The sequence below is a fragment of the Homo sapiens genome, chromosome 3 (assembly GCF_000001405.40).
Source record: "Homo sapiens chromosome 3, GRCh38.p14 Primary Assembly".
NCBI classification, from domain to species: Eukaryota; Metazoa; Chordata; class Mammalia; order Primates; family Hominidae; genus Homo; species Homo sapiens.
In genome coordinates, this window is record NC_000003.12 from 191,503,129 (window position 1) to 191,529,344 (window position 26,216).

Sequence of the window (26,216 nt, forward strand, 5' to 3'; positions counted from 1 at the left end):
GCTAGTTTTTTTCCTCATTTCTCTTTCTTTTTAACTTTATTTTTAAATTTGGAATTTTATAATTTGTGCTTTGATGACTGGGTAAATTGGCGTGAGTGGCTTATCATTATTTCGATTTTTGTTCATGAATGTGTTTATATATTTTTGATGTTTAACTTCACTATCTTACCTGATTTTAAGCAATCCTCTCAGAAAGTAGTTTATCCTATTTACTTGAATAGTTTGTAGAAAAAAATTTGCTATTATGTACAGTTTTAAGGTATGATGAAATCTAGAAGGAAGTCAGAATTAATGAGATTATTGCATTAAATTATTTTCTTCCTCCACCTCTCAAATTGTTATTTTTGTTTAAATGTCTCTTTCTTTCTTCTTAATCTTGGGAAATTTTATTAGCATTGAGAATCTTTTCCTTTTGTGATGCTGGTAAGGAATGAAGAGTTAACCATTTTTATCCTACTATTGTGTTAAGATTCATATAATCCACGTGCTTCTATACCCATGTGGTTTTGTGCTCAATAGTACAGAACTGACTTTAGGAAGTGGAGTACAAATAAAAATTAACCAATGGCAGAATATTTAGAACTGGAAGAAAAATTAGAAATAACCTAATTGATTGCCATTTGTGGTACAATAAAAGTATATAGGCCGGGCGCGGTGGCTCACGCCTGTAATCCCAGCACTTTGGGAGGCCGAGGCGGGTGGATCATGAGGTCAGGAGATCGAGACCATCCTGGTTAACAAGGTGAAACCCCGTCTCTACTAAAAAAAAATACAAAAAAATTAGCCGGGCGCGGTGGCGGGCGCCTGTAGTCCCAGCTACTCGGGAGGCTGAGGCAGGAGAATGGCGTGAACCCGGGAAGCGGAGCTTGCAGTGAGCCGAGATTGCGCCACTGCAGTCCGCAGTCCGGCCTGGGCGACAGAGCGAGACTCCGTCTCAAAAAAAAAAAAAAGTATATATATTTGGTCTTTGTCCCTGGTTCCTGACACAAACCACCTACAACCAACCGTTGGAATTTTGTTTTTCATAATGAGCCCCTTTTGACCATTCCTGATTTTATGCCAACGTGGTAACACTTGCTGTGCACCTAGGTAGCTTCAGGATGCAGGCTAGTTGCCAGAAGAAAAACCATCCACCTGGTTAAAGAATTAGAACTATTAGCCCTGTCTCCAACCTCATGGAGGGGAGAAGAGCTGGAGAATTTAATAACTAATGCTTTCATCGATTATATCTATGTAATGAAACTTTTATAAAAACTTTGAAACATAGCCAGGTGCAGTGGCACATTCCTGTAGTCACAGCTACTTGAGAGGCTGAGGCAGAAAAATTGTTTGAGCACAGAAATTTGAGTTTGTAGTGCATCATGATCTTGCCTATGAATAGTCACTGCATTCCAGCCTGGGCACACAGCAAGACCTTATCTCTACACACACACACACATACACACACACACACACTCTTTACTAAGGGAGCTTCTGTGTTGCTGAACATGTCCATGTACTGGGGGAGTGGTGTACCCAGAGAAGGCACAGAAGCTCTGTATGCCCCCTCCCCCCAGTATCTTGCCCTACACACTTCTTCCATTTGACTGTTTCTGAATTGTTTCCTTTATAATAAAACAGTAATCGTAAGTATAGTGACTTCCTGAGTTCTATAAATCATTCTAGTAAATTATGGAGCCTGAAGGGGGATTGTGAAGAACCTCCAAATTTATAGTTGTTAGGCAGAAGTGCAGGTAGCCTAAAGACCTTGTTGTGACTGGCAGAAGTGGAGGCAGGCTTGCAGGACGGAACCCTTAACTTGTGGGATCTGTGTTAATTCGGGGTAGTTGATGTCAGAATTGAATTGAATTGTCAGACACCAACTAATGTTGGAGAACAAGAGAATTGGATATTGTAGGAAATCCAAACACACTTTTTCTTGTCTCCTCAATATGACGGAACGTTTAGACACAAGACATGGTAAGTGATATGCCTAATTCATGCTGCAAACCACATTAGAAGGTGATAAAACCAAAAACTTCAGGCCTTTGACTGTAAGTGCTGTGATCTTTTCTCTACACCACACTGCCTTTATACCACATATTTATTTATGTGTCAGCTTTTGATTCATGAATAGAACCCAGTCTTCTGCATGAGAGAAGAATTAGGATGGTTGGAAAATTTATAAGAAGTGGGAATTATCTGTGACTTCTAAACCACCTACAACAACAGAAGGCTGGGAGAATTAAAGGATTATTCTGCATTCCCAAATCACCAGTACATTTCCTAAGATTTTCAAAGAGACATCTGGTGAGTTCTAACTTGAAGAGAAAAAAATCTTTCTTTCTAATATAAAAAGCTAATATTTAAGAAGAGGAAACAGAACTGATAATAATGCTTTGCAATCAATGAGACTTTGCAATGTAATTTTACAAGGCCCTTGCTCATTTATTTCTAGTTTGCTATTAATAGGACCGTGAGCTTGAAAGGTGAATAAACTGAGGCTAGGGGAATGTTGTGGTCAAATAATCTACACAAGATGAAGAGCTATAAGTAGTGGACCAAGGTTGGTATCATAGGTTCTTGACTATGATACATCAATGTATACATGTATACATCAATGGTACTTTTCAGGATCACAGGAAAAGACCATTTTGCTATGATCTGTGCTACAAACATTTATTAAGGGTCAGCTCTGCACTGTACCCTGAATGATGGGGGCTAGGAAGATGAATAAAATACACCCTCAATCTTCAAGCTGTTTATTGTCTAGTACAGGTGGCAGACACATATAAATTAGAATATCCTTCAGTGTGATAATTCTGTAGTATAGGTTCACTCAGTACAAGAGGAGGATAATGAAGGTAACATTGCTTCTATTCTGACTCAAAGCCACCAGCAGCTCACACCTGAACTATTACACTTCCCTTCTTCTGTCTCTTCTTTGGTCTTGCTTTACACTGTCCATTTACCTCACAGAAGTAGGACTCATTCTTTTAAAATGCAGATTAGAACATGTCAATCCTCTGTGTAAAGTCTTCAAAAGTAATCCTTTCTATTACTGAACTTAGAATCAAATTCAATCCTCCTTTCAGGGCCAAAAATACCTTACAACCACTGACCTCTGCCGACTATTCCACCTTTCCATATTGAGCACTTTTCACTTTGTTCACTATGCTCCAACCACCGTGGCTTTCTTTGCACTTGGCAAATAAAGCAAGCTTATTCCAATTAATTTCCACTTTAGGGCCTGTATTAGTGTGTTCTCACGCTGCTAATAAAGACATACCTGAGACTGGATAATTTATAAAAGAAAGAGGTTTAATTGGCTCACAGTTCCACATGGCTGGGGAGGCCTCACAATCATGGTGGAAAACAAAGGAAGAGGAAAGGGTCTTCTCTGGTGGTGAGCAAGAGAGAGTGCTTGTGCAGGGAAACTCCCATTTATAAAACCATCAGATCTTTTGAGAGTTATTCACTACCACGAGAACAGCACGGGAAAGACCCACCCCCATGATTCAATTACCTCCCACCGGGTCCCTCCCATGACCTATGGGGATTACGGGAGCTACAGTTCATGATGAGATTTGGGTAGGGGTCACAGCCAAACCATGTTAGGGCCTCTGTACCTTAGTACATTTTGGACCAGAAATATTCTAGCATTATGGGCCATTCACTTAGAATGCTCTGGGTTCATAGTTTCTCTCTTCTCTTCCTCTCTTTTCCCCTTATCTCTCTCCCTCTTATTTGACTATTTTTGCCTTTAGATAACAATTCAAATATCTCTTTTTCAGAGAACCCTTCCCTGATGACCTTAATTACAGCACCCCATCCACACAGCTGGCAGTTCTTCTCTATCACATCACTTTATACTCTTTAGGCCATTTCACGTTCTCCAAAACATTGGGCTTATTTATATTTATCTATGTATTCCTTTCCTCTCCTCATTTTACTCACTGGCCCCTGCTCCCGTTACTAAAATAAATGTTCGATGAGGTCACAGACTGTGCCTCTTTCATTGATAGTTGTATCCACAGTATTTAAAATATTGCCTGGTACATAGTAAGCTCTTGATGTTTATTTTATAAATAAATACATTTTCCTAGGAGGATTGGGTGAAGGTGTTAAGTAGGAGGTTACATTTTGAAGAATGAAGCTCCAGATAGAGTTTTCAAGAAGAGAAAAAGTCCAGGTTTGTATATTAACCTAGAATTACACATAATGAATTATTCACCCAATCCCCAAATCTGGTACAGATTCATTATTTTATTATCTTCTGATTGAAATGTAAACTATAACATCTGCTCAAATAGGACATCTACTAAATTTTGAAGGAGTTTTGACCATTTTACAAATAAGACTCTTTTGCAGAGGAGTGAGCCTGTGGTGTTCCATTTCACCACTGAGTTGCTCTGTCTTATATTTCTGACTTCATCCTTTCATCCCAGTCTTTGTATTTTTTTTTTCTTCCTAACTATGCTCAGGCTGGCCAGCGACACCTATACACCACCACTGTTGGCAGCTCTCAAGGACTATGCCTTTGTTGCTGTTATTCAAGGAGGCCACACACTGCAATTGTACCTGCCAGGTCACCTAAGTTAAAGCTAAACAGAGGATAGCAGCAATTCGAGGGAATTCAAGTGAAATAAAGCATTTTAATATTGGGCAATTTTGCTTCTTTCACTGCTTTGTTCTGGCTATGGGGACAGTTTGAACTGAGCTTCTGAGAGAGCCGAAGGTACCTTTGTGAAACTCCCAGCTGTTCTTCCATTTTCTCTCTTATGCCATCTGTGACTTGGAAAAAAAATAAAGTTTCCTCGGTGTATGGTGGAGTGGGAATGAGGATTATGTGAAAGTACTTGTCGCACCAAGCTGGCCTCTATTTCTGACCTTACATTAAATGAAGTCAGGCAGTTTTATGATTATAGAAAAGTACTGTAGTACTCACTCCTAAGTATATTGGTATGCAAACATTGGGACAACTTTTCAATCTCTTATAAGGGGTGCTTTATGTTACTTTATTTCAAGCAACACTTACAAGGTACTTGTTGTTATTAAAACCCCATACTATGAATGAAAGATGAATAATTGAATCTAGAAGGGATATGCAGGGCAAGTCTGTGTGTGTGTGTGTCTCTCTGTGTGTGTGTGTGTGTGTGAGAGAGAGAGAGAGAGAGACATACTATAATAAGAATATTTTAAGTGACATCTTAGAAGGAACTTAAAGATGGTTAAAATCTCAATATGGTGATATTGCAAGCAAGAACAGGCTTCAGGACTGCAGATTCATTGGTGGTCAGTCTTCAATGATCAGCTGAAGTAAAATAGGATAATCCTGTATTAGGAAAGTCATCGTCTTAAGGTAATGGTCTAGAGCTAAGAAAATTCAGCGTATGTGTGGAAAATCAAATAGGTCAGTTTGGCTGCCATGTGTGGTATAAATGCAGGATTATGTGAAATGAAACTAGAAAAATAGAAATGAGAAATATTATACAGCTCTTTAAATGACAAGCAAATGACTATCTTATAGGTATTGGGGGGATCCAGAAGCTTATGCGTAGGTAGTAGACATGTTTGGAGGCACAGGCTAAACAGATTAACTTAGTAAACTAGGCAGCATATCCTGAAAATGGAGAATCCGGAACAGACAGAGTGACACCAGATGGAATGTTTTATCGGGTAATACTGTGGAGCTGAATGAGGCATGTGAAGGAGCGTGGCTCAGGTGGACCAGTTGCCATTCGGAGGCCATGAATCCAGGCTCCTCAATTTCTAATATTTAGAATGGAAGGGGAAGGATGGTGATATCCACAGAAATACAGAATTTATAAGGCGATGCTAATTTGAGGGTAAAATAATAGGTCCACAAAAATAAAAGTCCCCTGGTAACTTCCTGGTGTCCCATTCTGTCCTGAAACACTCTGCTCAGTGAATAATTTAGAATAGACTTTGATCAGTCTTTATGATATGTCCTCATGCCCCAGATTAAAGGGCTAGTTCATACCTTAACTCAAATGGTAAATAGAATGAGAAAATTCCTTGGCTGGCAGTAGAATTAATTGCCTTTTCTCCCCTTCCGGGAGGTCTTGGTATGAAGGAAGCTGGGTATGATGAAAAGTGCACAGGCTTTAAAGCCACAGCCTTGAGTTTGAATATTGGGTGTTCCTTAGTTAGGGTGTGGTCATGAGAACATTTACAGAAATAATGATATGAACCAAGCCTCTTAGGAGGGTTCACAACATATTGTGTCTCCTTCATCACTATATGCCTGACAATTTACAGTTGTAGGTACCGTTGCTTTTCAGTAAGGATTTTTTTTTTTAGATAGACTTCTATTTCATGTGGCATTTTTTTTTCCTGAATTTTATCTCAAAAGGACCCTTTCTTGAAATGTCAAGATGGTATTGCCATAAGGCTATCTTCCCATGAGCAGTCTTTTGGCTGATAACTAGTTCCACCAAAAGTCTACCATGTCAGAAAGCATTGCCTAATCCTTGCACCTAAAAGAAATCAGAGTTATTAAAAGTCAGACTGATGGTTTGATAGGGCATTTACCAAAATGCCAGAACATTTAATCATAGTTCCTATTATTGGAATTTGGGGAGAATAAGTGTGTGGGAAGCTCTGGGATATAGTGCAAAGTTATGAAAGTATAGACTGCTTCTACCATGTATGAACACTAAATTCCTAATTTAAGAAAGAAACTGATATATAGAGGCAGTCAGTTTAGAAGGGTGTGCAGTAATATGAATATTATTCAAGTACCTAGGATTGATTTGTCATATTTTTGGCTGGCCGTGGTGGCTCACGCCTGTAATCCCAGCACTTTTTGAGGCTGAGGTGGGTGGATCATGAGGTGAGGAGATGGAGACCATCCTGGCCAACATGGTGAAACCCCATCTCTACTAAAAACACAAAAATTAGCTGGGCATGGTGGCATGCGCCTGTAGTCCCAGCTACTCAGGAGGCTGAGGCAGGAGAATTGCTTGAACCTGAGGTGGAGTTTGCAGTGAGCCAACATCTCGCCACTGCATTCCAGCCTGGCAACAGAGTGAGACTCCATCTCAAAAAAAAAAAAAAAAAAAAAAAGTTTTATGAGGGACCTGAGAGCTGTCTTAAATGCTTAAAGATCTAACATATAGACCTTTAGGTCAGATTCACATTGGCCCACATTGCATCAAGGTGGCTGAGTACAACCATTTACTGGTTTGGCTGTAGAAGAAAGTTCCACATTTATTGGAAGGACTAAAAGAGCTCTAAGCACCATTTCATAAGCTGCTATAAATTGCTTAAGGAAATTGGGATATTTGTATCTTTAATTGTAGGAAAGAGCCAGTCCTTGACTCATCTTAATCTGTTAATGCTTCCATTTACCTTTAACTTCAACTAGAAAAGGGGTTTACTGATGATGGTTTAACTTCAGAAGGTGATCATAATATTACCTACTGGTAGATTAATAAACACCAATATATCTATTTTAAGTTTAATCAATTCACATTAACTTTACCTTCTCCTGTCTCATTAAATATAAATTAAATGCATGGTTAGGAAGCTTAACTGAAAACATTTTCCAGAATTTACGCAAAGCATGAATACAAAATGTGTTAATGGCAGCTGGAGGCAGAGGAACTCCAATACTATAACATTTAGCAAAAAGCATGTTACTATGTTGGCGAGCAAAACCCAGAATGAAAGACAATTAGACATACCTATTAAATGCATATTTTGTTATTCCATGAAAAAAAAAATCAAAGGCATCATGGCACTGTCATGGCAATGATGTAATATTTCCATCTATAATCACTACATGCAGATTTAGTAACATCGATTTCATTTCACCTATTTCTGGGGCTACAGTTCAGTGTATTTCTGCCTGGTTAGTTTGAAAATTGTTAATATGGTATAAATGGAAGTAAATTGAAGATGCAATATAGAGAATTGAACCGTAGCTTAAAACATGCTGCACCTAAAATAATAGGAGGGCTAATGTTCAGAAAATGGATGAACAGCCCACACATTTCTTCCATTTATTTCTAAAGCTTGAAATTTAAATGAGAGGTTCTGTTTTGGATATGGCATTTAGTGATCATAAATAAGTATAATCTGCTGGAAATTATTAGGATTCTAATTTTATACTAGGGACCCAGTGTCAGCCTAACAGTCAAGTATCAACTTCTCTAAGATATACAAATATTTTCTTATGGGAAGAAATAATTTGGGGAAGCGGTTTCACATTGATTTCTCTGTACATCTTACACAGAATTTCCTTGTGCTATCCCTACCATTATTCTCCTTTCTTCCCTCACTGTGTTTTCTTCAGGATTCTCAAAGGAGGAGGATCGAACTGATAGCAGTGGGTCCCTCCTGCTTTCCTCATAGACATGCACATTATCTGCAGACAGAAAAGGAACCCTTTCTCAAAAAATTTCTGACTTCTTGATCTAAAGAATTGAAAAAAATACACAGGATCAGATTCACCATTGTCCTCCCACGTTGAACACATTATTCAGTAGGTTTTAGAAACATGTGCTGACTTAACAGGTGCTATTGACTGAATGTTTGTCCCCCTAAAATTTCTATGTTGAAACCTAACCCCCAGTGTGATGGAATTTGCAGGTGGGCCCTTTGGGAGGTGATTAGGTCGTGAGGGTGGCACCCTCAAGAATGGAATCAATGCCCTTACAAAAGAGGCCTCAGAGAGTTCCCTTGCCCTATTTCCCCATGTAAGAACACGCAGAGAAGATGGGCATCCATGAAGCAGAGAATGATTGGCCCTTGACAGATGCTGAATCTGCCAGTGCCCTGACCTGGGACTTACCAGTTTCCAGAACTGTGGGTAATGAATTTCTGTTGTTTATAAGCACCCAGCTTACGGTATTTTGTTATTGCAGCCTGAATGAACTAAGAAAACAGTTGACAACAGCATAATTTTTATATTGAGGGAATATAGTTTTATTTTGGGTTGTTACAATATTAAGAATATTATAGTCATGCATAGGCCACAGAGTCATCAGGAGTTAATAGAATCTCTGGGATTAAAAATAGATGTCCCAATCTATTTTCCTTAGAATATAAATATTGTAAGCATTCTGCATTTTAGATCAACTAGAATTGTCAGGTGATGATGACCACACTAGTGTTTCAATGATTAAATGACATGCCCTTGGTCTATGGCATGAAAGGATTGTTCCACATTTATTTTCTAAATTAAAGTTAAGACCTGAATATCAGAAGAATAACCAAACAAGGAAACAGGAAAGAATAGTAATATAGTTCAGAAAAAGGACTTATCTTCTGAGGGTACAGTCATGTTTTTATAATTTTATTTTTCTATAGATAGAATTATTGTGGATATTGGTATTAACTTATATGCATAATTGAAGAGGTAATAGATAAGAAATGGCTGTATTCTGCAACATTAAAATAATATTTTCCTCCACTTTTTTCTTATCTAGCTATTCCACTTTAGAAGTTATTTGAAAGTACAAAGGAAGATGAACCAACATTAGTAAGTGATCACAATGAAGGTTAAGATAGGCAACTTGAGAAAAGAGTATTTTGTCAGTAAGTTAGGAATTTGATTTTATCTAAGGTAGAAAATTTTTACAAGAGGAAAGACAGAAAAGATTATCTTTTAGCATCAACCTCTCTAACAGTAAGAATGAGGAAATACAGAACAAAACCACCCACATGGATGATACAAGAAACATCTCCAAAACTCCTACACAGAAATCTAAACATCTGAGTTTTTGTTCCGAGTCTATTCAAGTTGAGTTGTATGACCTTGGGTAAATCCTTTTATATTGTGATTCTTGGGGTCCATATGTGTAAAATAACTTGGTTGGAAATAAAGAACTTAAATTCCTTGAATCTCTGGCATTCTATAGCATGGCTTTCCAGTGTGGAAACACAAGTGATGATGCGGTTTTTATATGTTTTTGTTTTCTTTCCTTTCGTTTTGTGGGAATTCATTATTTCACTGTAGATCCTTTGAGAAGCACGATTTTAGGAGATGGTACCAATGAACCAAAGTCATTTTGAGTTTATGTAAATTGAAGCAAAAGTCATTTCTTCTTATTAAAGTCATTTAGGATTTCTACAGTCTTGAAGGTTATATGGAATTTGCCATGTTCGACTTTTGTAATTTGGTCTTTGATGTACCCATTAACCTCTCTTACTGGATTCAAGGGTAAGATGCCTTTTATTAATGTGTATTTCATCATCAAAGTTAACAAACTTGGTACAATTGTCTTTTGTTATTGATTATTAGACATTCCCCTTACCTAGAAAAGGGGAGAAATGATGGAGTGGAAATATATAGTGCTAGACTATTAGGCAAAGACAATGAGTCATTTAAATTCCCTTGCGGAGAGAGAGCAACACACTTTCATATCCACTTAACAGAGGCTCAATTGCTCTCCTTTGCACTCTGATTTCGATGAGAGCTATATGACATCTCAATTTAGACTTCCAATGCATCAGTTATTTAACTTTTAAGGTAGGGGAGAGGTATTATGCCCATCACAGATGTGTTCTGAGGATCAGCTCTTATAGTGCAAGGCTCTAAAATATTTTGCATGAAAATACTATTTTTAATATTTTACTGCTTATTGTTTACTCAGCAGGTCAGTACTTTTCTCTCCATCTTTCTGATAAGAGGAGAAGAGATAAATAAGAGGGAAAAGAAAGAGACAATAGTGCCGATGGAGGTGAGAAAGCTCAGAGAAAGCAACTAATGCGCCTGAAGTCACACGCAGTTAGTAAAAGGACTGACACTAACGATGAGGTCTCCTCATCCCAGTTGCTGCCCTATTCACCTTTGGGTAGCTCAAATTAGTTTGAAGACTCTACTTCAAATCCTGTGTCTAGTGCTCACATTGTTCTTTCCTTAGAAATATGTAGATCAACATTGACAATTGAAACAATAATTTCATCTATTATCAAAATTGGAGAGGTTTGTTTTGATCCAGGTCTGAAGTGCACCATCGAGCTAAAAGACATTACTGCCACACACTGTAAACAAACAGCATTGTTATTGAAAATGTGCTTTAAAAATAATTATTACCATTTATAAAGTGCTCACTTTATGCCAGCATTATTTTAATTGCTTTACTTATTTTAACTTATTGAATCCTCATGACAGACTTGTGTAAGGTAGTTACTCTTATTATCATCATCTCAGCTTTGTGAATGAAAAAGCTGCTGCCCACTGAGGATAAATCACTTGCCTAAGGTCACACAGCTGGTAAGTGCTTACACGGAAAAATTAGAACTAGGTGGTCTGGCTCTGCTGTCTGCGCTCCTCCCCACTACATGCTATAGTCCATCAAAATAATAATTGTCTCATCTCTTTTTTTGTTCTAGAGAACTTTAAAATACAAAAAAAGTACAAAGAGGAAAATAAAGTTCATCTTTGTTCCTACCACGTGGAGATAATCACTGTTGACAATACTGAGTTGTGTTGTTAATTGCAGATCAAATTACAGAAAAAATGTCCATGTGTTTTAGCAGCCATGTAATTCAGTGAAGTTTCTTTCATTGGATGTCATTGGATGTTACAACATGTCCAGGGTGGAGATTTCTCAGAATATTTTTGGCCTTGTAAAATAAAAGGCCATTATTTGAAAGCTTACTCCCTATTTTTTTTTTAAGAAATTAAGGGTTTTATTGAAAATGTAAGTACACTCCACAGTGGTGTGGGAGCGGGCCTGAGCACAGGGGCTGAAAGGCCCTGCTACGGAATTTTTGGGAGTTTCTCCCCAGAGGATTCCTTCGATTACTTGGGGTACACCCTGTGTAAATGGAGAGGATGTTCACACAACACTGGTGTGTTGCTGGCCCTTTGGACATCCTGACAAAATATTCATTAAAATGCACTTTCTTAAATGAAGTGATCGCCTCTGGACTGATTGAAGTTTCCTGTGTATCTGGCCCACTTCCAACCATTATCTAGGATAGAGGGAGGAGAGTTGGTGCCGCAAGAGCTTGTGACATTTCCAGACTAATGTGTCTTATGTTTATAATCATACAGTTATTTAGAATTCTGGATAAAAGTAGCTTTCTATATGTAAGCAATAATTCTGTGGTTACCAATAATGTGAAGATAGAGTAAATCCAAAGGCAAACATTTAAAAAAAGGACAGCCTTCTCGATAAACACAAAACAAGCAGCTTAAACACCTTGGGCTCACTCTTCTGACTTTAGTTCAGTAAAGAAACTGTTCATAGGAATTTGCTACTTAAGACATTTTCTTGGGTCATCCATGATTAATTCCTTCAAAGGAGGCAGGTTAGGTATGCCGGAATGGATGTCTTCTGGGATTTGACTTGAGTGTCTGAGTGCTAAGCAGGGGCTTCGTTATATATTCAGCAGCATTTTTTCACTAGGGAAATAGTTGTAGGGCACACAAATGAGGGGAATTTGTATATTTTTAATTTCCTTTTCTAACTTAAAAACAATTTAATGCAACTATGCATAATCTCATAAGCAGGTGAAAAGGGGAAAGTGATTTCAAGTGCCAGAATCCTTTGGTGTCCTGGAAAATACATGTGGCCTAAACATTACAAATCAGTTTTATTTGCTGTGCTTGTAATATTTCAGATTAACTCGTTGCCTTTCACTGGTTTATTATACAACCTGTTTTCAAGGAGACATTATTTAATTGTAAGGAATAAATTGCTTGCGTGTGTGTGTGTGTCTGTGTGTGTATGTATCGAGTCCTAATATAATTATTTTCACCGTAGATTCCAGTGAATTTCTAAATAATCTTGGGAATACAATCTTTTGTTTATGAATTATTTGCAAGCAGACAAAATTCCTGATATTTATTCTATAATTAAATCATGATTCTTATAGCCAAGTAATGATGCAACCATTGTGAATTATATAAAAAAAGAAAATGCATATAAAATACAAATTTAATAAAAGCTTTCTAAATGGTAATTCTGGCAAGATAAAATGCAAAAAAAGTAACTTATTATATTTTTTTAGCGAGGAGAGACCAAAGCTTGTGTGGAAAGCTGGGAGGAGATAGACTTCTGTGAGCTATGGATTCACCCTCATGGAATTTAGATTCCAGTTAGGTAACGAAAAGTAAGCAAAGAGTGAGAACTAAACCCATAAATTGTGATTCACATAAAATGGCAGAATTTTATAAGTATAAATTATAGTTTGTTGCTATACAACTTTTATTTTTGTTATTGCCTTAAGCTATGGAAGCATCTCAAAGAATTTTATAATATGAAACTAGTCTTTCCATTTTGGGGACTGGGAAAACTCATGCACTAATAAATTGAATAACTTAGCCCCACCATCATAAAAAGAAGAAAATTTCTTGAGATTTAGGCCTCAAGTTCTCGTTCACACTTCCTATCTACTAACATTCCAAATAACATGCTCTATTTTTCACAGAATCACAAGGTTGCCATCCATCCTTCTTGACATCTTTGGTGTCGCTTGACATTTCTTGGTAGAGGGAAGCACTAATGCATGACTCCAAATTGGGGCAATAGGACCATTTTCATACTTGAAAACAAAGAAACATATAACCTAGAGATGCCTTCGAAACTTTCTTCCTCTGGAGAGATATAAGAATAGATTAGGTAGTCATTTAGTTCAGACATAGAAAGAATTCCTGGAAGACGAGGAAAAGGAACTCACTGGAAGACATTCAAAGTACCTTTGCACCTCAAATGTCTATGATTCTTGAGGTCTCCCCTATTTCTATAGGTCTGTGGGTCTACGAGAAAATACAGTACGTGGATGAGTGTAGAATCTTTCTTCCTTTTCAGTAATTCAGAAAACAATAAAAATTTCTGACAATGTGCTTTGTCAATGGACATGACAAATAATTCTTGGACAAAGATAACATCTGAATTCTGGATATGGTACAATTAGAATTAGAAATTCATCTGACATTGTTTAGTATTTCCGCCTGAAGAGTAATGGTCACCAGTAAAGTTCTGCATAGGGGAAGGGGGAGAAAAATAAAAGCTGAATGTCCTAGCTACCTTTGTAAAGCCTTACCATCCACTAACTTTGGTGCAGACACCCTGTCCTTGACCTATTACTTACACACTTTTGCCTCATTGTGACTTATGCCATCTTCATTCCTCGCCCTCATAATATTTCTTCTAATCAAAATATTACTATTTTCTTATCAAAATCTTATCTGTCTTCAAGACTCTTCTCAAATGTCATCCTCTCTGTGGAGTCTCTTATGGTAAGACTGTTGTCTGTCCTTTATTTGAATCCTCAAAGCACTTCGTGCTTTATTCACAGCCCTTAATCTCTCTGACTTGTAATAAGGTAATTTGTGTTCAATCTTATATTTTCTTCTAAACTCTGAACTATATAGGCAGAAATTGTCTTCTACTTCTTTCTGTACCTTCTGAATTGCGTAGCAAAATAGCTGCCTTCTGGCAGGTGCTCAAAATTATTTTTTGTATTAAATTGAATGAAATTCTAAAGGGATCTATGCCCATTTCAATGTAAATGATAGTACACTTAATAGGCTAATAAATATAAGTAACTATATCCTAATTACTATAAAATACTATAAAAAATAGTGTTGTAGGCTTTAGACTCAGGCAAAATAAAATAAGAATTTTTTCTCTATCACTTAAATTACTTGAATAAATTATTCAGCTTCTCTTTTTTTGATTATCTCATCTCTTAAATTGGGATAATATTTGTGTCTTTCTTAAAAGGTGATTGTTAGACAATCCTAATAATATTTACAATACTATCTTAAATAAGATAATACATGTAAGCAGCTCAGGATCATGCCACAAAACTATTATTTTTATTGTATCAGGTTTAGGGATATGCACATAGCAACTACTATCTTCAGGAAGCTTTCAGTCTACTTGAGACGGCAGAGAAAAAAACAGATAATAGAATTCATTGTGATAGAGATGTGCTTAAGTGGTTTCCCCATAACAACATTTTCCTTTTAGCCACCAGTTTTGTGTATTCTTGACAATATCAGCTGATCATTAGTATCAGAAAACATCTGCTTTTATGCCCAACAGTTTAACAGCAGCCTAAACTTTCAAGCTGGGGAGGTATGTAGGGGTTCTGAATTTATATTAGCATCAAATGAGTGTGACATATAATCCCATGGTCAGAGAAATGCATTTCTCCCAGCACTTTAATGTACTTTACGGGCATGAAAAATCATAAAAGTGTTTCAGTCAGCAGTTCAAGAGTCAGACTTCTGTTACATACATATATATATATGGCTAACTGAAGGAAAGTGATACAAATAAACTAGAAATGAACTCATTAAGAATTTTAAAACTTAGGCGTAATTTTATCCATATCTAGTTTTACAGATGATAAAACTGTAACCCTTAAAAGGAAAGTGACTTGCCTCAAGTCACCCAGCTTTTAGGTGGGAAAGCTGAGGCTCTGAGGATACATTATGTAGCTTTATAAAATGTCTTACTATAACACTTACATCTTTACACCGTGAACCTTAAGAGTTTAAGTAGCCTTGTCACACTTACTACACAAAAGAAATTGCTCCAGTCACCCCTAGTAGAGAGTCCTCTATTCTATGATTTGCCACATATAGTAATGGGAACTCATTACTATTCTAGATTTCTTTCACTATTACACAGCTTTAAATGTTAAAAAGTTATCTTTCACTTATTTAACTCCTTTCCACCTTGCCTACTTATGAGCAATACAAATCAAATATTATGCTTCTGTTCAAAATAACACTGTGAGCCAAGAAAGGAAGGGAAATTTTCAAGTGCCGAAGATGAACGCATAGCTCCATAGTGAGTAGGAGTAGTAATCTTATTTCAGATATAACACAAGAACAAAGCCATCATGGCTCCTAGCATGTTAAAGTCCACGAAGAGATCAGGATGATACTGGCTAGTGACTTTCTAAGTAGGCTTCCTTCACAAACCGGGAATCTGCAAGATCATCATCATCATCATCATCATGACCATCATCATCGTCATCATCGTCATCATAGAAAAACTTAGCCAAATAGGCTAAGGATATAGTTACCTGCCCCATCTTTGGGTATAAAAATAGTTATTTGGGGTGGGGAGCATGTTTGAAACCTTCAGTTTTTGCTGAATGAAGATATAGAGTATGAATTTCACTCGCTATTCAATGTTGATAACAAAGAAACATAAACATTGAAAACTCAAAATTGCTATGCAACCAGTGAGCCCCATAGGCATGAGTAAATACCACTAGAGAACTATATTTCAGGGTGGAAGAGAATGACTACTAAAAATATTATTAAAGGCACAAATTCCACCACGTACACAGTTGTGAGAAACAGCCAGTGGATATAACAGATAGGTAAACTACTCTGCAGGTAGCAGAGAATATGGACTTATCTGATGGAAACTTTAAGTATGTTTAAATTTTGACAAAGAAGAGAATAAAAAAAGATAATCTAGAAATTAAGATTAAGATTTCAAAGAGAATAGACTTAAGAAATACATTTGTGGATGGGCCAAATAGAAATCTTAGGAGTGATACATAGAATTGTCAAAATGAAAACTATATGGAGCAAAATAAACACTGTATTTGCTGATAGCTTTGGAAACAAAGTTACCAAAAAGTATACACGGACAAACAATAAAACTCCTTCCTAAATGATTTCTTGATTGTGTAAAAATCATGGTATCTTTGGGTCAGAAGGTATAGTAAGTTCATTTTGCAAGCCCCCTTGGTTCCAAATACTTAGCAACAGATTTTAATATACTAGATGGATAGATCAAGATAAAGCAAATAAGGCAATAAGACATAGCCAGAGTAATAAAAATAACATGAATATCTTAGTGGGTGAGACACAAAGAGGCATACAAAGTCGTTAGGAGTAAAAGAGCTATAATGAATTCTGTGGTCTGGGTTGAAAAGCAAATAGTAACTGAAGGCTTCGCTCTTGCAGGGTTACAAGTAATAAGAGAGTTCCATGGAAGTTGGGTGCTTGGAGCTAGTCTTGTTACTCAGTTTCAGAAATAGATTGTGACATTCTTTTTTATCTGAGGAGTCTGAATGTAACAGTTATATATTGCAGCCAGGGCCACAGTTTCTATGGAGTCTTGAACTTGAGAGGTGAAGGAAGAATAAGACATAGTCTTGAGAATAAGAACTGAATCAAATCACTTGCTGGCTGAATGACTGGGTCTGCAGGGTTCCTATATTGTTGCAGGGTTAGACCTGGGGAGTCTTATTATAAATGTGGCTCTAGATTGATGGGTTAGAAGATCTCAGTGGACACTACAAGACAGTGAGAGGTGAGGGCAAATGGAAAGTAGAAACTTCTCCCTTAAAAGGAATCTGAAATTCCTAATTCTAATGCATGGAGGTATTTAATGGTAAGAAATACAACCAAGAAAATCAACCATTAGATCATTAATTCACTCTACAAGGTATTCGTTTTTTTAGCAATTTTAAAAAGGCTTTCTTTTTCTTTTTTGAGACAGGGTCTCACTCTGTCACCCAGGCTGGAGTGCAATGGTGCAATCATGGCTCACTGCAGCCCCGACCTCCTGTGCTCATGGGATCCTCCCACCTCAGCCTCCCGAGTAGCTGAGACCATAGGCATGTGCCACCACACTCAGCTAATTTTTTTATTTTTTGTAGAGATGAGGTTTCGCCATGTTGCCCAGGTTGGTCTTGAACTCCTGGGCTAAAGAGATCCTGCATCCTTGGCCTCCCAAAGTGCTGGGATTATGGGCGTGAGCCACCATACTTGGCCAGTTTTACAGACTTTAAAATAAACATATTATTTAGTTCTAATTATTTATTATGGCACTAATAAGTTCATTCAAAATAAAACTAAATACAAATAATAAAAAGACATTAAAAAAGTGACAGATGATAGATTGAGAGGATTCAATTTATGTCTAATAAAAGTTCTAGAAGAAGAAAATGGAAGGAATGCCAATGAAGCAATATTTGAAGAGAGAATGCGATATTGGCAGATAATTATTTAGAACTGAAGAAAGACATGAGTCACGAAGTTTCAATTTATAACAACAGCCAAAAAAAAAGTAAAAATAAAAATAAGATAAATAAAAATGCAACTACAAACTGGGTTCACTGCTCAGAGTTTCCACAAAGTTGCAGTTAAAATGCTGGCCAGAGCTGGGGTTTTATCTGAGGATCAAAGTTCTCTTTCAAGCTCAACAGTCATTGTCAGAATTCAGTGCCTTGCTATTCCAGGGCTCTCCTCTCTTTTTTGCTGGTTTTGAGCTACAGGTTGTTCTCAGATCTTGGAGAGCACAATTTACCTTGCCACATTGCCTGCTCTACAACAGGACAGTGTGCTCCTTCCAAGTCGGCAGTAGACTCTGGCATCCTTACAACCACTTTTTTAAGGAAGGGTCCTCTTCCTTTTAAGGGTTTACCTGATTAGGTCAAGCTTAGGCAAGATAATCTCCCCCTTGGCTAACTCAGAGTTAACTGATTTAGGACCTTACTGACATGTGTAGAATCCCTTGACCTTTGTCATATAACAGAATCTAATGCTAGGAGTTAAGTCATCATATTCATAGTCCCACCAGTACTCAAGTGGTGGTGGTAGTGGTGGAGGTACAGAGGGCATCTACTCCAGGGAGTGAGAATCTTTGGGGCTGTCCTAGAATTCTGCCTACCACAGCTGGGAGGACTCCAACATCTGTGTGCTGGAAGATCTGTACTTCCTCAAGCATCAGTCTTTAGGTGGTCTCTTCATGTGGTCTCTTCATGGTGACCTCAAGGTTGCTGTTTCTTTTTGAATAGCAGCTCAAAACTTTCTGAGTGAGGGTCCCAAGAGAATATGCAGAAACTATATGGGCTATTTTTACTTTATCTGTAAAATTACTTCTAGAGAAAATAATTTAAACATTGACTCAAGAAAAAGTTGAAAAAGGGAATAAGCCAAGAAAATACTAAAAATCCCATTGGTAATCAAAATTATACTATCATAACATCCCAGAAAAAAGATGCAAAGTCTAGATAATTTTATAAATGACTTTCTTTTAAATTTCAAGAAATAGATCTTATAGACATAGTATCAGAGAGGAAAGAGGGAAAACTGGTGATTTATTTTCTTGAGATAATATAAAATAAAAACAGAAAGAAACTTTTTTAACTTGATAAAATATATCTATGAAATCCTTACAAAACTACATTAAAGGATAAGTATTAGAAGGACTATTATTAAAGTCAGGAAAAAGACAAGGTTTCTATGATAGCTGCTTAAACTCAACATTATAATGGAAGTACCAGGTCATACAATATTAAAGATAATAATTAATCTGATTGAGAATTGGAAGAGACTAAATACAATGTTCATTACTTTTTTAAGAACATAATTTAGGCAGTTTTCAAACTATAAAAACTTATCAAGGAGACCAATAAGGTGGTTGGTACAAAGGCATCATCATTGTTCATAAGAAATTACCGAGCACTGGCTAGGTGCTGGATGCTACTGAAGTTGATCTCCATGAATTGATCCATTTTATCCTCTGACGAACTGAGAGCTTTTTCTAGCCAACAATTGACAGGAAAATGAGAACTTCAATCCTATAATTCCAAGGAAATGAATTCTGTAAACAACCTAAATAATCTTGAGAAAACTTGTAGGTGATTTGACTTAAGGAATCAGAGCTAGAATGGCCTTTGAAAACTTAAAACCATCGCTTATTTAACAGAGGACAAAGCCAAGATTGAGACATGTACGGCCACCAATCGGCAGCAGGTGGAATGGAGAGCCAGGCAACATATTCCACACTGTGGGGCTTTCATTGTTTTGTACTTTTGGCATCATTGTGGCATAGACTCCTACTTTCATAGTTATAAAACAAAAGGAAAGAGATATACAATCTCTCAGAGTACCTCTAGTTTAACATTTGAGGATTTCAAAAAAATACAAACTGTATTTTCTTTTTCTCAACCCACCAAAGCAGTCTCCTTTTATATACCTGGAGCATTTATGTATCATTATCCTTTTATGTATCTACTGAGCAGTATGTAGGCTAGGTAGAGGACAAGTAGTGATGTTTTGAAGTAAATAAATAAGATTTGCCCTTGTGTAAACAATTCCAGATGGATCTCAGAAAAACAGCTTGAAAGGGTAGCCTTATAGAATCACACCGCCGCAGCAAGAACAAGCACTCGGTAATGGGGCGGGGTTTATTTGCCTGCACACTTTGCGTTTGCTTTCGGTTAGATGGAAAGGCAAAGCTTCTGTCAGACCAGCAGAAAGAGAGTCTGTTTCTATTTATGTCTTAGTCCCCTAGGTAGTAGGTTAACTTTGCGGATGACAGATGAAATGCTTCGGTTTGTCATTTATACCACTGTGCACAGATGGTTCTTATGCATCTTTATGATCTTTTTCAGTATTATTTACTGCACTTCCATCCTGCCCCAGGAGACCAGGTGTGAAATCCAGCACTAAGCAGTTTTTGCTAACTGTGAATTGCATTGAGCCAAAGGGGCCATGTGGTTGGACCTTGGAATTTGAAATAACGTCATTACTTATACCATGAAATTCAACTGCCTGTCAACTGAAGTTCTAAAATATGCCCCAAAGAGAAAGTTTCTCATTTTAAAAGATATTATTAATTTGGGTTATCACTTAAGAAACATGACAATTTATTGAATTTATTTTTCCTGGTATAAACATGGGCATTTTTAAAATTTAAGTTTTTATTTGCTAATATAATTTATTATTATTATTTTTCTGAGACAGGGTCTTGCTCTGTCACCCAGGCTGGAGTGCAGTGGTGCAACATGGCTCACTGCAGCCTTGATAAATAGAAGTTATAAAATAGAACCAGTGGGGTGGGATGGTGGCTCACAGCTGTAATCCTAGTACTTTGGGAGGCCGAGGCGGGTGGATCACCTGAGGTCAGGAGTTTGAGACAAGCTTGGCCAACATGGCAAAACCCCGTCTCTACTAAAAATAGAAAAATTAGCTGGGCATGGTGGCGGGAGCTTGTAATCCCAGCTACTTGGGAGGCTGAGGCAGGAGAATCGCTTGAACCTGTGAGGCGAAGGTTGCAGTGAGCCAAGATCATGTCACAGCACTCCAGCCTTGGCGACAACAGTGAAACTCCATCCAAAAAAAAAAAAAAAAAAAAAAAACAGTGGAAATTCTGGGACTAAATAAGGTAAACGTGAGCTTCATTTTGTGATGGGGATGGGCCCACATTGTAATGGGACCTCCTGGGCTCAAGTAATCCTCCAGACAGCCTCAGCTTCCTGAGTAGCTAGGACTACAAGTGCACACCACCATGCCTGGCTAATTTTTAAATTTTTGCTAGAGACAAAGTCTCACTTTGTTGTCCAGGCTAGTCTTGAACTCCTAAACTCAAACTATTCTCCTGCCTCAGCCTCCCAGTGCTCATGTAATTTTTGAGTACTGTGTTTTAATTCAATTCAACAGATATTTATTGACACTATGTATAGGTATTGCTACAGATGCAATGATATATAAATTGCAGTTACTATTGTTAAGTAGTCCACAGTCCAGAGGAAAGAATATGGCATGAATTGAAAATCTACATAAGAAACATAAGATGTGCCTCTTTGGAAGGGTAGAGGAAGAATAGATCATTAGTTGGATGAGATCATACATGATTTTAGGGTGGGTTGGTGTATGTTTGCTTAGCCATAAAGAAAGGCAAGACTTTCAACAGACAGAAATGTAAGATGGTCTTTTCACACATGAAAATCATCTTGATGTGGGAAGGTATAAACTGCATATTATACAGAGCAAGGAGTGACAAGTAGGTCTGTACAGCTAAAGCTGAGTTCTATGCCTTCATACTGGAACAGTGTTTTAAATGTTTTAACGTTCATTGCATGCGAACCATTAATCTTTCAAATATAATTATGTCCCACATTTTATGGAGAATGCAACCAAGACACAGATAATGATACTAGCTAACAGTTACTGGGGCATCATGTGGCAGGCACTATCTTAAGATGCCTTCAAGTGTTCTCTTAGTTAATCTGTAAAACAACCCTATGAAGTTGCATTGTATTAAATGCACTTTACTGGTAGGAAACTGAGCTACAGAGGTTAAAAAACTTATCCATACTTACACAACTACTAAGCATAAAGCTTGGACTCGAACCAGCTTAGATGACTTCACTGCTTCATTATAGAAATTACTTCTCTGAGCTCACATATATTATAGAATGTGGAGTTATGCACTGATTTTCCCAGTCCATGTTGTGTATATTTTTTAAAACTTACCAGTTATAATGTGAAAAGTGAAAAAAAGAATCAGATAAAGAAGTTTAGAATTAATTAATTAGGTGAACAATAACCAATTAAAATGTTTGAGTAGAGATATGCTCAAAACTAATGTTCAGCCTAGATTGAAAGGAGTGATAAGCTGTAAGGGAAAATTTAGAAAGCAATTGCAAAGTCCAGGCTTGTGTGTATGAGGTCTGTATTAGTATTGTTCTAGAACTCTTGGCATGGTCAGGCTACAGGTAGGTGCCTCCTGAAAGATCATGAGGTTTCCTTGAAGGAGTTTGCTCTTCATTCATAAAGAAATTCCTCAGGCCCAAGTTGAGCATAAATTGAGGGATCTTCATGTGATTGGTTCAGTTTTGACTCTTTTGGGGTATTCAAATTTATTTCCTTTGTCTGTTTTAAAGAAATCTATAAGGCAAGATTCTGCTTCTTCTAATGGCCAAATGAGCTCATACCAGACTTCCTTTCCCATAGATAACAACTATATACTCTGGGCAAAATACGAAAAGTAACTACGTAAGAGATCTGGAGAGTGTACATGAGGGGAACTGAAAGTTGGAGAAAGGGGCATTCACAGAATGTGTGTTCTAGTATTTTAGCCTGAAGGCAGTGCCACATGTAAAGACTACAACTCCAATAACTTCAGACTTTCTGACCTGAACAATCAGAGGATAGGGATTAGCATATTTACGAATCCGGATAGTGAGCATAGAATCCCAGAAAATATAAAGACAGAGAGGAGGACCTCTAACTCAGTATATAAACTTCGCTCAAATTTCTGGTTAACCTCTGAATCACACATGTGTGGGAAGACTATAAGCCCTGTTGAGACAAAAGAAAACACTACAGAAAACAAAAACTGGGTTAAGTTGAGCTACTGTTTAGGAGACAAAGTTTGCAGTTTATGTCCAACCAAGTAATCACCATAGAAGAATATTATCATTCTTTTGAAGAATAAGTCTGACCCATTTTTAAGAGAATAAATAATCAATGGAGGCTAAACCTAAGATGGCCCAAATGTTAGAATAAGCAGATAAATACTTCAAGGCAATTAATACACTATGCTTAATGAGATACAGGAAAATGCAATCATAATAAATGAAAGATAGGACATAATAGTGGAGAAATAAAAGCTATAATATAGAACCGATGGAAATTCTAGGACTCAATAGAGTAAACATGTACTTCATCTTGTGGTGGGGATGGGTCCTCAATGTGATGGGACCCAGAGCAGAATAGACCTGAGAATTGTAGTTTGAGAAATGCCCGGAAGATGTCATGACTCTGGAAACTTTCCCAGCCTGCTCCAAAATGCCAGAAAGATAACTAGGACATAATTTTAACCACATTTCAGTGGCTGAAGAAAGTCCTTAAAAGTATTTCTCTGTGAAGTAAACTGATGGAAATTTCATGATTAGAAAATAACCCTTTTAAAAGCTGTTGTCCTTTGCGCTATATTCTGAAAGCCAAGACTTGTCACCAGGATAAAATGAGAGTGAGAGATGTAACACCAATGAGATGAAGACTTCAGAGTGAAAATGCTGATCCCCTCTCCATTTTTGCCTGCTACCTCCCTCGTCCCTCACCTAGAACAAATTCCAAGTATGTAATCTTTAGGATGTGTTCATTTGCTTATCTCATCTAATTAGGTACATCTCTCATACTTTCAGGAATAATTTGAGAATACTTAAAATAGCACATATAAATAACATAAATAGATAGCAATGCAGATTTTAGAAATCATATAGAGAAAAAGAACACAACAATAATTATTCAAAAATCCTGGGATACAATGGTTATAAAATTGAATATTCTATTTCACTTTGACAAAAATTAAAAAAAAATTTATGTGCAACAAGTGACTCAATAATTATTTCTTATTAATTAAATGTTAATTATGAAGAATATGTATTGACGTGGAAAATGCTTCTGCCATGATTGACAAAATCCAAGTCATAAAATTATGGTAGGTTTTTCTTCATGTAATTATTGTGTTTATGCAATAAATAAACTTTAAAATGGCTTTGCCCTCTGGCAACTAAGAATGAAAGGAAAACAGGATTGGGTTTTACTTTGATCATTAAATGAATAGTAATCTCTGTATAAAAGAAAACTGTTAAAAACATAAGAGTTTTGGAATTGCTTCAGGCTTGGAGAAGCTCTAAGATTCTTGATGTGGATCTGAGGCTACCCAGGTGCCCTAATAAAGAACACAGGTTTGGGAGCTGTATCTATCCCTATGCCATCAACCCACAGCAAACCAGATTATAGCCTGAAGATGGGTGAGGCCACATTCACTGTCTTATTATTTGATCATGCTAATGAGACCTGGACATTACGGCTGTTTTCCAAGACATTCTTTAAAAATAATGTTCAACTCACAAGCTACCTTAGAACAGAGGCAATTTAAATTACAGTTCAATCAATAATGCAAATATAGTGTTCCTTCAAGCCCTGGAGTAGGAAAATAACTCATTATAAATGATTTCCTGAGTTTCAGACAAAATTTGCAGATTTTTGCAGTTCTTGGAGAAAATGAGGGGGTAGCAAGTCCTCTGTTGAGTTTGTATCTTCTCGGTAAATGTGTGTAAGTCCCAAAGGCAGTGCCCTACTCATAATTCAATTGGTAACTTGCCTGGCTCAAGGGAGAGGCCAAAGGGATTGAACAAAACCCCTTAAGACACAGGGACTGAATTATGCCTTTATGCTAGTTTGATTCTTCTCTGTGATGGTTCATTTTGCTAACTGGACTGGTCAATGGGGTTCCTAGATATTTGGTTAAATATTATTTCTGGGTGTGTCTGTGAGGGTATTTCAGATGAGATCAGCATCTGAATCAGATGACTGTACAGCAGCTCACCCTCACCAACATGAGTGGGTGTCATCAATCCTTTGAGGGCCTAGATAGAACAGAAAGATGGAGGAAGGAATTATTTACTCTCTCAGTCTGACTACTGAACTGGGATATCTCCTCTTGCCCTCAGACTGAGACTTACACCATCAGCAGTCCTGGTCCTCAGGCCTCTGGACTCAGCCTGAAACTATACTGGCTTTCCTGGATATCTAGCTTGCAGATGGCAGATGGTGGAACCTTTCAGCCACTATCATCACATAAATCAGTTCCTTCTAATAAATCAGTTAATCAATCTGTGTGTGTGTGTGTGCGTGTGTGTGTGTGTGTGTGTGTCTCTCTCTCTCTCTGTGTATGTGTGTATAGACAGACAAGCAGATAGATAGATAGATAGATAGATAGATAGATAGATAGATAGATAGATGATAGATAGATGATAGATAGATGATAGATAGATAATCTCCTATTTGTTCTGTTTCTCTGGAGAATCATGACTAATACAGTTGACCCTTGAACAATATGGGTTTTGTATTACTCAGGGTTCCCTAGAGGAACAGGACTAATAGGTTAGATGTATATATAAAAGGGAGTTTTTTAAGGAGTATTGACTCACAGGATCACAACGTGAAGCCCCACAATGCAGGCCATCTGCAAGCTGTGGGCCATCTGCAAGCTGTGGAGCAAGGAAGCCAGTCTGAGTCCCAAAAACCTCAAAAGTAGGGAAGCTGACAGTGTAGCCTTGTCTGTGGCCAAAGGCCTGAGAGCCCCTGTCAAACCACTGGTGTAGATTCAAGAGTCCAAAAGCTGAAGAACTAGAAGTCTGATGTTTGAGGGCAGGAAGCATCGAGCACGGGAGAGAGATGGAGGCCAGAAGGCTTATCCAGTCTAGTCCTTCCACGTTCCTCGCATGCTTTTATCCTAGCTGCACTGGCAGCTGATTAGATGGTACCCACCCAGATTGAGAGTGGGTTTGCATCTCCCAGTTCACTGACTCAAATGTTAATCTCCTGTGGCGACACCCTCACAGACACACCCAGGAAAAATACTTTGCATCCTTCAAGTCAATCAAGTTGACACTCAATATTAACCATCACAGGTTTGAACTGCATAGTTCCACTAATTGGTTTTTCCAATCAAATATGGATCCAAAATACT

General features: G+C 37.4%; 2 long non-coding RNA genes across 2 annotated transcripts in view, besides 2 other annotated features; both read left to right on the forward strand.

Moving 5' to 3' along the window:
- PYDC2-AS1 (PYDC2 antisense RNA 1) overlaps window positions 1-26,216 on the forward strand; it is a 164,833-nt gene that overhangs the window by 77,605 nt on the left and 61,012 nt on the right. The window lies entirely within an intron of this gene.
- On the forward strand, window positions 1,698-4,648 carry LOC124909472 (uncharacterized). The gene is made up of 2 exons (XR_007096215.1): window positions 1,698-2,289; window positions 4,464-4,648. It is a non-coding gene; the product is annotated as an uncharacterized LOC124909472 (long non-coding RNA).
- Window positions 4,906-5,075: an enhancer, noted in NCBI's record as "experimental_67118 CRE fragment used in MPRA reporter constructs". NCBI's record gives its function as "activates a minimal promoter by MPRAs in K562 erythroleukemia cells, with activity observed for both the introgressed and non-introgressed 3:191225908 or rs73193787 variant alleles {active_cell/tissue: K562}" and the evidence as "EXISTENCE:reporter gene assay evidence [ECO:0000049][PMID:34662402]".
- Window position 4,991: a transcriptional cis regulatory region, noted in NCBI's record as "Neanderthal adaptively introgressed variant 3:191225908 (GRCh37/hg19 assembly coordinates) or rs73193787 in the experimental_67118 CRE". NCBI's record gives its function as "modulates activity of the experimental_67118 enhancer by MPRAs in K562 erythroleukemia cells {active_cell/tissue: K562}" and the evidence as "EXISTENCE:reporter gene assay evidence [ECO:0000049][PMID:34662402]".